Raw genomic sequence first — 13,092 nt, forward strand, 5'->3', positions numbered from 1 at the left:
AAAAAATTGCCACAAAAGCAGATGCTTCAGCTTGGAAAAGTTTCTTTGACAGATTGGTCTCTGGGTTTTGTAATTGTTAACCAAGTTAGGGAAAAATATTACAATATATTTGAGCCTAACGGGGCTCCATCACAGCCATTTTCAGTTAGTACATAAAAGATGTTTTTATCAGGGAGTTACATTTTATTCTTTCTTTCTTCAATAGGATTATTACTGATTCCTTCAAATGTTCTTTTTTTATTAGAAAGAAAAACATATAGAACATGATTACATAAGAGAAAGGTTGCAATTGTCTCTGTGTTAAGCAGAAACTTTCCATTTGCTAAAATTAGGGTACATTTACATTTTTAATAACAGCTAAGTTTAACAAGCCTTATTTTCCTCAGTGGTGGGAGGACACCTTGCAGCTCCTCCCATTTATTGTGACAATGTAATTCAACTCTGTTAAGCTTAAGTGAACAATATAGCCCTCTGATTTTCACTTTTAACAATTGCAAAACATTTTAGTAAACAAAATGTTGCTTCTGTAGACTTTTGAAGGTATCAAGAATAATGAGCCCTCCAAATACATCTGAATTAATTTATAAAAGATGAAAAGATAAGAAACTATTTAGCTTCATAAAGATTTTGACTAGGATTTTTTTATTTAAGATTTTTGGTAAACACACCAATTTCTTTCCCAAATCTCCTTCGCCTGGGTCCTGTATTTCAATGAATGAAGTCATCGTCCTCCTACATCAGCTCAAAACCTCAGACTATGTTTTGACTTCTTTCTCTCTTTACCCCACCCACATCTACTTAGTTTTTACTCATACCAATTCTACTTTTACAGAATCCCTTGCTTGCCTTCTTTATTCAATCTCAAAGCCTACAGGATTAATGAGATACCTTTTTAACAGATCTCCCTACCTTTGGGAGCTTATTTATCAGTCCATCCCACAAAAAAACTGCTATATCAATTTTTTTAGTACAAAATGCTGAAGCTGATCTTTTACTCCTATAACAACTTCCTGTTGTCAGTTCAGTTTTTGGAGTATGGCTGGTATTCAGTACACTCAAAGACATATTCACTCTATGACTCTTTAGCATTATTTCCCACTACTACCTTTCATATACCCTAACCGTCTAGGTCCTTTAATTTTGTGCATCCATGATGTTTTCTTTATTTGGCATGTGCTTTCATTACTCTCAATATGTCCAAATGCTTTCTGCCTCACCTGTGAGACTCAGCTCAAATTTTGAACCCTTTCCAAATGCCTTTATCTTTTCCTTCACTGAATTCTCTTAGTATTTTATATGTAACTCCCACTTTATGTAATTTTGATAGTGTATTAATTTTCATTTACACTTTAATCCCTTGATAGATTTCAAGTTTCTTGTAAGCAGGATTTATAGGTACTTTATCTTGTTATATCCCACATTCTAATTGTTCGATTAATATTCACTGAATAAATCTGTATGCAATACTGGAAACTCTTGAGAATTCAGGTGTGAGATATGTGAAGCAAGGCAATTTATCGACCAGTGGATATTATACATTTTTAAGTCTAAAAGAGACACTTGACCTCAGCAATGCCAAAATCATTGTCATAAAATTGAAACTATTATACAGAATTCACTAAAACCTTATTACATGATCTCTCATGCGGTAATTGGTTAATTTTTCAATGTTAAGAATTCCATGTACAGGGCACAGTACAACAAATCTAATAAACAACTTTCATAACCTATTGTCTTGCCTGTTGTCTGGTTCTGATTATTTGACATTGGTTTTTCCATAGGAGACATCCAATGCAGGAAGCAAAAGAGTTGATTACTGCACACTGCCCTCTGGTGAGCCACATGGGTAATCTAGAGGGGGAAATTCAGAGTTGAGAATGTAATTCACTCTCCATGCCTAGGATGCCAGTTAGTGCCAAAGAATTATGTCACATTTTGTGATGTGATCACTTCTCTCAACTGTATACTCTCCTGAGCCTACTAATTCTTTCCATGCAGGTCATCAAATGGCCATCAGTTGGTAAAATTTTCCTCTTCATTTAGCCAAAAATGGATCCAGAATATTTGTAATGAGTCTTACTAACCCAAGCTTTTCAAAAAATTGTGCTATTACTTCTACCATGACATTTCCCTGCATCTTCATATATCCCCAAAGCATTGTATGAAAACAATGGTAAAACATGTTGTATTAGTCCGTTCTAGCATTGCTATAAGGAACTACATGCAACTCGGTAATTTATGAAGAAAAGAGGTTTAGTTGACTCATGGTTCCACAGGCTATACAGGAAGCATGGCTAGGGAGGCCTCAGGAAACTTACAATCATGGTGGAAGGTGAAGGGGAAGCAGGCACATCTTCACATGGTGCAGCAGGAGAGAGAGAGCAAAGAGGGAAGTGCTACACACTTTTAAACAACCAGATCTCATGAGAACTCACTATCACGAGAACAGCAAGGGGGAATCTGCCCCCAAGATCCAATCACATCCCACCAGGCCCCTCCTCCAACACTGAGTATTACAATTTGACATGAGATTTGGGTGGGGACACAGAGCCAAACCATATCACATATTGTTCTCAGCTTGCAGAGAAGTCAGATTCTTTGTAATTGACATGCTAAATTCTCTACATTCACATAAACGAGTCTTATTTCATATATAAAAACATGGAGCTTTCTCATTCTTGAGGAGAAGTCCAAAAATCAAATAATCAATCTTATAACATTAGAAGTACTCTTTGATTTGGAAGGACCACAGGTATGTCTAGCTTTTGACCATATCAAAACTGCCATATTGCTGGGTGATATTACTCATTTATTACCAGCTGACTGAATACCATTCACAGCTAAATCAATAATGAAAGCTTCAGAACAGGTATGAAACCACTCAAACCTCACATTCTAGGAGGTACACAAATAACCCAGTGTCTAACGTTCATTAGCTTCTGAAATCAACTCTATTTGCTGTTTGTACACAAGTATATTTGTCCATTTTTAATTCTATTCCTAACTTCAGGAATCTGCATTTTGTAAAAGTTATACAAATAATGGATGATCTTCAAATAAGTGTAAATATCCTTACTGAAAAAAAAAACACTTGTAAAAACATAGAATAAATGCTTTCTTGTTTAACGGAGTGCTAAACTTGATAAAAATATGTCCCCATTTATCAAAATTTTGACTCTTCAAAATCCAAGCAACTGATTGATCATCTAGAACCTACTAAAATAGAAATGTAATTTTTCCTTACGTTCTTTATCATGCAGTTGAAAGTTTAAATTATATAAGAACAAAAAAGGGGGTAAGGAGGAAGCTGGAGGGCCAAAGTGAGGGTGGAATTTTTCAAAAAAAGAAAAAAAAAATATAAGAACCACATCCTTTCTTGAATCTCAATCTTTTAATTGTCTGAGGCCATTTATGCGCAAACTCAGTAAACTGGTTTTTACTTATTGTTAATTTATTTTGCTTTCAAATAAGAAAGCCTTCTGTGAGACACTTTCCTGCTGGTTTCTGCTGATTTGTTGCTTAACTGTGGGTACTAGTTTCCTGAATTCAGAGAGGAGTTCAAATAAAATTGCATCTAAGTTCATTTAACTGTAAAACTCTGTTTCTAATGATATCAGACATTAATGAATAATGATTTTAAACCAACAGATATTAACTGTATGTGTACTATATATTTAAACTCAATTTTTGTATTGTATATTATGTAGCTTAAAAGGTACCATAAGGATAAATGGTATATATCAAATTGCAATTTCCCATAGAAATAATTCACTCAGTTTTGTTTTCATTTTGTTTGTTTTTAATCTTCTCTTTTGACTACATTTGAGAGGGAATTTCTGGCTAGCACAGAATCCTTTTTAATTTGTTTCTGTATAATGTGCAGCAGATATACTTAATTAATGAACTGATTAGCAACTTCCTTAATTACTTTCCAGTAGTTTTTTTCATTATTAAATGTTCAGCCTTTGAATGAATATCTACCAATATATGCCATCACAATTTAATCAAATAGAATATATCTGTATTTTGTATTGTACTGAAACCGTCTAAAATAAAGCAAATATTTATATATCAAATAGGGAAATTGACAGCATTGTATGTGATACAACACAATATTATAATGCATTATATGAAGTCCTTAGTTTGCTTTTTCTTATATCTAATTTGTTTTGGTTGGTACCATGCAAAAAATAAAAGGCAACCACTAAGTCATAGAATTTAAATGGCATATTTTAAATGACTTTGACAATTTGTATATAATGTTGACTGACATCTTATCTTCATATAAGGCTTTACAGTTTTTTAATTAATAAACTTTATTTCTTAGAGCAGTTTTAGTTTCACAAACAGCAGAAAGTACAGAGTTCCCATATATTCCCTGTCCCCACACATGCCTTACACCCCTACTACCAGAGTACACGTGTTACAGTTGATAAACCTACATTGACACATCATTACACACAAAGCTCATGGTTTACATGAGGGTTCACTCTTGATGTTGTATATTCAATAGGTTTTGACAAATGTATAATGACATATCCATCACTGTAGTACCTACAGAATAGTTTTACTGTCTGAGAAATTCTCTGTGCTCTGCCTATTCACCCTTTTCTCCTGCCAATCCCTGTCAACCACTGATCTTTTAACTGTCTTTATGGTCTTACCTTTCCCAGAATGTCATATAGTTAGAAGCACAGTATGTAGCTTTTCACAGATTGGCTCCTTTCACTTAGTAATATGCATTTAAGTTTCTTCCTTGTCTTTTCAAGGCTTGATAGCTCATTATCTTTTCATGTTGAATAATATTCCATTGTCTGATATACCATAGTTCATTTATCCACTCACCTTCTGAGGATCTCTTGGTTCTTTTCAAGTGTTGGCAATTATGAGTAAAGCTGCTGCAAATATCCATGTGCAGATTTTTGTGTGGACCTAAGTTTTCAATTCATTGGTTAATTACCAAGGAGCATGATTGCTGGATCATATGGTAAGAGTTTATTTAGCTTTTGTTTATTAAACTTGCATCCTGAAACTTTGTTATAATTGCTTATTAGTTCCAGGAGGGGTTTTTTTGGTTAATTGTTTCAGATTTTCTACATAGTGTTTCTTATGTGAAAGACATTATTTTAGATGTTGTGGATACAAAAATAAACACATAATCCATGTCTTCAAGGATTTCATAATATATAGGGCAAAAGGTGTAAGCAAATTATTACAATGTGGCTTGTGAATGGCTATAATATTAGTATAAATGAAGTGTGATGAGGCCTCAGAGAATAGGCAGCTAATATAATCTGGAAATTTCAGAGAAGACTTTCCAGAGGAGGTTGAGTCTGAGTTGAATCTCCAGGGATGGACAGATGCTATCCAGGAGACCGACAGAAGGAAGATTATGCCTGGAAGAGGAAACAGCATGTTCAAAAACAAAGATGAGAATGCTTCATCCACAGAGAAACTTCCTAGTGGTTTAATGTGATAGACACCGAGATGCACCCCCAGATTCCTCTTCAAAGAGGATTTCCTATGCAGCTGCAGGAAATATGGCCAGTAATTTATAGCTGTCTGTTCAGGTTCAGAGAGCAGTCTTTTCCAAGGTCCTACCCTTAACCAGGGCAATCTGCATCTGGTAGAGGAGAGAAGTCTGAATACAAATGCAGGACAACTCTGATAGACATATTTGTTCCAGAGCTTTCTGCTGAGTTGGCTGAAGTTCTGTTGCGTCTGTATCGCAGTTCAACTTCTCTCTCTGACCAATGCTGTTTCACTTCACTTCCTATCAAAGGTTTGATCCCTAATAAGCACCCTGCATGCTGGCATGCTGAAATTCTTGTTTTGGCGTCTGCTTCCTGAGAATGCAATCCATGAATTTGGTACCAGGACTGGTCCAAGAGAGTAGGTGATGGGCTTTTTGCCTGAGTCATTCATTGCCTCCTGGCATTACTTGTGGTAAATGGAGCACAAACAGCTATTATCACAAGGTAGTAATCAAATTATTAACATTTTCACTGTTTGTGAACTGGCCAGATGAATCAGATATATTTGAGATGTATGGGGAATAAAGTAGCGATAAAGATAAAGGAATTGGATGGCTATTGCTAAGCGGTATTGATGCTCTACACAAAGATAATGAAAAAATCAGAGCGAATAACAAGCAATTAAAAACCAAGTGAGATTGTCAGAGGGCCTCTTTGGCTGCATAAAAAAGAAGCTCTCATTTCCTGCAGGAGGAGGCTGGAGAAAGGTGAAGACCAAGACTAGACTTTATAGTCAGAGTAGCTGAACTTCAAAGATGGTTATATGCCCACTAAGATAGATGGTTAATAATAAGCAAAGTTGAAATGCTGGGATTGCCATGGAAGAAGGTTGAGGAAGGGAAAGGCTGAGGAAAATAAGCATGCTGGAATGAAAATACAAATAAGGCTGGAAGACTGAGAGGAATATGTTCCATGGGAAGGCCCAAAGGATACACAGTTTACCAAGGCTGTAATGAATGAGCTGGTGAAAGAAGCACTAGCAACACTAACAAGCAGAGTAGTGATGCTCCTCTTTAGGCCAGAGGTCACTGTAGGAGAGGCCATTACAGAACCTGACTCATTGGTAACAAAGAAGTTGATAGAACCCTGGAAAAACAGAGGCCAGTTGTGGCATTTAACTGCCAGAAGCCAGGGATTTTAAATAATTGTAAGCATCAACAAGGTCAGAATGGCAGCCCAGAAAGAACCACAGAATTATGGAACATATTAATAGAATTTGACAATGCTAGAGACAAAATAAATTGGTAGTGACAATGGAATCACTCAGCATGTACTGTTAGAAGAAATCAAGCATGAATAACAGAGTGATACTTTATTGTGTCATAATCCCTTGCCCAGTTTATGGGCCTGAGTCAATTTTCAGACCTGTATCTCATTCATTGACGTGTTTAGGCCTCCTGGGGATGGACCTTGTGATGCCATGGCAAGTACACCTGGTAATGATTCCCTTAGTCCTTCTTCAAAGGGACCAAAGGCCATTTACTTGGTGATACGGTTTGGCTCTCTGTCCCTCCCAAATCTTATCAGAAATTATAATCCCTACATGTTGAGGAAGGAACCTGTAATCCCCACGTGTTGAGGGAGGGAGGTGGGATCATGGGGACAGTTTTCTCCCTGCTGTTCTCATGAGATCTGATGGTTTTATAAGGCAGTTTTCCCTGCTCTTGCTCATTCTCTCTCCTGCCTCCTGTCAAGAATGTGCCTGCTTCCCTTCTGCCATAACTGTAAGTTTCCTGAGATCTCTCCAGCTGTGCACAACTGTGAGTCTATTAAACCTCTTTCCTTTATAAATTACCCAGTCTCAGGGAAGTTCTTTATAGCAGCATGAAAATGGACTAATACACTTGGGTAATGTGAACCAGCTGGACATTTAGTTGACACTGATACTAGGAGAACCAACACATTAGGGCCTTAATTTATAGTTGGAGCATGTGAAGGCCAGTTTTAAAAATGGAATTCTGTCCAGATTCAGCTTATATTGGGCCCACTGGTTGCAACAAGGACCACCTGACTTATAAAGCTTAAAATATTAACTATCTGTTCCTGTACATAAAAAGTTTGCTAACCCCAGATCTAAAGGATGCAGAATGGTCATACCCATCCACTGGATTCACTCGTCTTGCTTCTGCAAAAATAGGATGGATCCTGAAGAATGACTATAGACTTCCTCAAGCTCAACCAAGTAGTAGTAGCCCTCCTGACAGTTATTATGCCAGATGTGGTATCTTTATTAGAGTGAATCAACATGGCCTTAGGTACATGGCATGTGGTCTTCAGTTTGGTGAATGCATTCTTTTCCATCCCACTTAGATTACAGGATCAAATATCATTCAATATGCATTCACATGGAAAGAATAAATATACATTAACAAGGCAGTAGCAGCCGTGAAGTAGAGGAAGGAGAGCGAAAGCATTTAAGGAACTGCATCTGAAAAGAACCAGTGGCTATTCCACACTATATATCATCCCACTCCTCTTTGTAATAAAATCCCCGAATTTTAGCAGGCCACAAAGCTGCCCAGACAAAGAGGGCAGTTTGAAACTTACCCTGTAGCTCGGTATGGCTATGTGGCCAAGTTCTAGCCAGTGAGATGTGAGAGTAAAATGTTTGCCTTCTGTGCCCTGCTCTGCTAAAGAAGAGGTATGCCCTTCACTTCCCCTTTTCCCTTTTCCTGCTAGTTAGAATGCGGACATAATGGCAGAAATTGGAGCACTTATATTAGACCGTGGAAAGGACGCCATATGTTGAAAATGGGAGAACAACAAGATGTAAGGAGGTCAAGTAGCGTCTCCTTACGTGGAGCCACTGTATCAGCCCTGCATTGCCTAGGCTTATGCTTTTATGTGAGATAACAATTAGAACTTATCTTGTTTAAGTCACAATTATTTTGGAGTCTTTGTTAAAGGAGCTGAAACTAATGTTCTAACTAATGCAAGTGCTTACAAAAGCAACTGAGCAAGGAGGTTGGATAGGTTGTGTGGAGGACAGATGATAACTTTGTTTTGGAACACGTAAGTTCTAATTTCTTGTGGGACGTCTATGTACATATCTAGTAGGCAGCTATAAAATCTAGTCTTAACTGAAATCTATTCTTAGCTATTCTTAGATAATTCTGGACCGAATAATTAAAAAAAACACCAAACTTTCACTGGGTCATCAAATGTGGATATGGTAAATGGGTTTTGTGTAGATATGTAGAATACATTAATGTAGATTGAGAAATAAGTTTATGTAGAAGATATATGTGTATTCCAGAATTATTTACGTTAAGGTGATATCGTTTGTGATGAATAGAAAAGATTACCAGAGAATGCCTAAATCCAAGTGAGAAGAGAACAAAGGATAGAAACTTGCAGCATAGCTACAATGAAGAAGAAGGTGAAAGGAGACTGTGAATTGGATAAAGAATCATCTGAAAAGTTGGAAAATCAGGATAGAATAATTTTGTTGAGGTTAATACAAGAGTAAATTTCTATAGACAGTGACTTGCTCTCTCAAATGCATGTGTATTTTAGTGAATAAATATAATTAAGAGTTAATATATCCCATAGCTACATGTAGTGATTATAAAGCATATTCATGTCACTACAGATGATTAACAATGGACATTTATGCTATTATTATAAATTTGGGGAAATGATGCCTATGCAAGAGGTAATCATATGGTGATTAAGAACTAATAACATTTTCTTAGCAAAGAGCATGCTGTTATTCATATTATTTTTAATAGGATTCTTATAATCCATATTTTACTCAGCTTAATTATCAAATATTTCCATAAGAGATTAACTTGTGGGTATCTTACAAACATAACTGTACTAAAAATATGACTTCATTAAAGCAAAAGACAATTTTATTGCTACTTAATCTCTAGTGAAGGCATTATCAACATTTGTTAAATTGTATAACTTTGATAGAAAATTATTAGGCAAATTATCATATGACTCTGGGGTTTAAGATACATATCTTAAGCAAAGATTCTAATAAGTGTATGAAACTAATATATAGTATGTATAATAGGCAAAATAATGCCTTAGCTCTTAGTGAATTTCCTTTTTTCCTCAAAAACACAGTGGGTTTGTAGCTTACTACCACAGGCAGATTTAGACAACTGCAGGCTTGATACGCTCTCTGACTTTATGTCCTTATAACTATGTATTCAAACTTATAAAAATGTTATCAAAGAAAAATTTGACTAGTCTTTATTTATATTTTAAATTGGAAGCCAAATATTCTTGAATTGACAATATAACAAATTTACAGGCAGAGTTAGTGCCTAATAGACATAATTTTCTTTCAGATGTTTGGATAATTTTTTTCTCAAAGTTAGGTTAAAGTTTGACATAAGAACACAAAATTCCCTTTTATCATTAGGATCATATAAAATCCCTAACCTAAAGAAAGAGGAAAAAGCAGGAGGACCTTCCACTGCTCACATACAACACTTTACTTGTTCTTGTCAAGTTAAAAGAGTGATCAGACTCTCAAGAGAGTGCTGCTTGGGGTTCGACTGTGTTCTTTAGAACTCCATTTTTCAAACTTTAGAGTTTTCTCATGATGTGTAAATTTTGTGGTGCACCAAAAATTTTGAAAAAGTTTAGTTCAAACTCAATTTATCTTAGTCGTAGTAGCTCTTGCCTGGCTTTCTGCCCAGAGTATTGCTTGGTACATCTGCAAAAGTGGTGCAGTAACTACTAAGGAAGCAATACAATAGTTAAATACAGATGTAAAGCCTAGCTTGCTTTTTGATTTTTTAATGCGTATCATAAAAAGTAGCATTTAGTTGGAGAAAATATTAACAAACCATGCATTCAACAAAGGTCTAATGTCCAGAATCTATAAGGAACTTAAATCAACAAGCAGAAAACAAATAATCCTGTTAAAAAGTGGGCAAATGACATGAACAGACACTTCTGAAAAGAAGATATACATGTGGCCAACAAACATATGAAAAAATGCTCAACATCACTAATCATCAGAGAAATGCAAATCAAACCCAAAATGAGATGCCATCTCACACCATTTAGAATAGCTATTATTTAAAAGTCAAAAATAACAGATGTTGGCGAGGCTGCAGAGAAATGGGAACTCTTATACACTGTTGGCAGAAATGTAACATAGTTCAGCCCCTGTTGAAAGCAGTTTGGAGATTTCTCAAAGAACTAAAAATGGAACTACCATTCAATCCAGAAATCCCATTACTGGGTATATACCCCAAAGAAAATCATTCCACCAAAAAGACAAAGGCACTTGTATGCTCATTGCAGTACTATTCACAATAGCAAAGACATGGAATCAACCTAGGTGCCCATCCATGGTGGACTGGATAAAGAAAGTGTGGTACATAATCACCATGGAATACTATGCTGCTATAAAAAAGAATGAAATAATATTCTTTGCAACAACTCGGATGGAGCTGGAGGTCATTATCCTAAGTGAATTAATACAGAAACATAAAACTAAATACTACATGTTCTCACTTATAAGTGGGAGCTAAACAGTGGGTACACACAAACATAAAGATGGAAACAATAGACACTGGAGACTACAATAAGAGGGAGGAAGTGGGGGAAGGGTTGAAAAACTATTTACTGGGTACTATGCTCACTACCTGGGTGATGAATTCAATCATATACCAAACCTCAGCAATGCACACTATAGTCTTGTAACAAACCTGCACATGTGCACCCTGAATCTAGGGTAAAGGTTGAATTTTTTAAAAGTAAAATTTAGCAGCCAGAGGTATGTTATTTAACAAATGATTAAAAATTATATGAATGATTTAGGTGTTTAATCCAGAATACAAAAAATATTCCAGCATAAATTTTTGTTTATAGAAAGTTTAATTTCACAAATAAAAGTTATTTGTTCATTTATGTTTTTTAAGTATGTAATGAAGACTAAAGGAAATAGAGTGGACACATGTACTTTCTATTGATAGTCACTACATTTTTTAGTTATTTATTTGGAGATAATAGTTGAAGGCAACTTATCATATAAATTAATTTTGTTAATTTGTTGTAATGATTACACAGATCAAATCATGGCTTCTCTTCTCTTTCTGCTTGGGCTTTCTTTTCTGTATTAGGCTCTGAGATACTTGAAGCAATTTAAGGGAGTGATTCTTGCCCCGTTATGAGTTCAGTTAACCAGGCAAGCCAATATGGTGGCCAATGACAATTTTCCAAAGAGTGAGAAGTTAGGGATCATGTGTCTCCTAGGTAATGGAGATTTCATAAATGGGTTATGTACAGCACTGAATCCAAAGGAGACCTGATTAGAGAAAGGGCCAGAAAAGTGTTATTTAAAACTTTCACAGTTTACTCTTTAATTTTGTATATACACAGTGTTACAAATAAATATTTGAAATGCTTTTCTATTGGTTTAATGTGGGAAGCTGAGTAGTGCAGGAATCTGAGAGAACTGCACTCAGGAACAGTAGCTCATATTCAGCCTCATTCTGGCATGAGCATGGACACAGAAGAAAGTAGTTATGGCTCATTTCCATTTTTATAAAAAACAATTATTTTCTAACATTTAATAAGAGGTTAGAAATACAGAATCTTTCTACCAGTTAAAACATTTGGGATTGCAAGTAACAGAAACCCTAATTCAAACTAGATTAAACAATAGAAGGGATTGTTCACATAAATGAAAAGTCCCATGGAGGTGAAGGAAGCTTTAGAATTGATTTGATCAAAGTTTCAGCTCCATTTCTCTGCATTATATCAACTTAGTTTTACTGTCTGCATCTGCTTTGTCCTCAGACTGGTTTCCTTTACAGTCACAAATTAGTTGTTAAAAGCAGGAGGGGTTACAGGCTTCATCACTTATAGGAAGTTCTTCCTGACAACTATCGAACAATTGTCCTGAGGTTTGTACTTGTTGGATAATCCCTGAAATAATTCATATGATTAGGGTAATGCTATGATTGGGCTAGGACAGGGTTGTCCACTCACAATAACTGTGTCAAGGAGGTTGGGGTAACTTTTAGCTTAGACCAATCAGGACTCACCCTTAGAAAAGGGATGGGGTCAATCTCATTGAACACGGCTGAAAGCTACACAATGGGGTGAGGGTAAAATGCATGTTTGAGTAACAACTACCAGGTCCACTGTAGTATACTCTTGTGCTCCCCAACCATTGTAATTAACATGTATCTTTCTTTTCCCCACTCTCTCTCTCACTCCACAATATGTGATATGGCTTGGCTCTGTGTCCCTACCCAGATCTCATCTCCAATAGTTATCCCCATGTGTTGAGGAAGGGACCTGTGATCCCCATGTGTTGAGGGAAGGAAGTGATTGGATTATGGGGGTGGTTCCCCCATGCTGTTATCGTGATAGTGAGCGAATTTTCATGAGATCTAATGGTTTTATACGTGTTTGACAGTTCCTCCTTCACAGGCTCATGCTCTCTCTCTCACCTGCCGCCATGTAAGATGTGCCTGCTTCTCCTTCTGCCATGATTGTAAGTTTCCTGAGGCCTCCCCAGCCGTGCAAACCTGTGAGTCAATTTCCTTTATAAATTACCCAGTGTTTGGAAGTTCTTTATAGC

The 13,092-nt window shown here is 36.2% G+C and overlaps 1 annotated feature.

The window, feature by feature from the left end:
* Nucleotides 12,555–12,724: an enhancer, noted in NCBI's record as "experimental_27323 CRE fragment used in MPRA reporter constructs". NCBI's record gives its function as "activates a minimal promoter by MPRAs in K562 erythroleukemia cells, with activity observed for both the introgressed and non-introgressed 12:28336371 variant alleles {active_cell/tissue: K562}" and the evidence as "EXISTENCE:reporter gene assay evidence [ECO:0000049][PMID:34662402]".

Source organism: Homo sapiens, chromosome 12 (genome assembly GCF_000001405.40).
Source record: "Homo sapiens chromosome 12, GRCh38.p14 Primary Assembly".
NCBI classification, from domain to species: domain Eukaryota; kingdom Metazoa; phylum Chordata; class Mammalia; order Primates; family Hominidae; genus Homo; species Homo sapiens.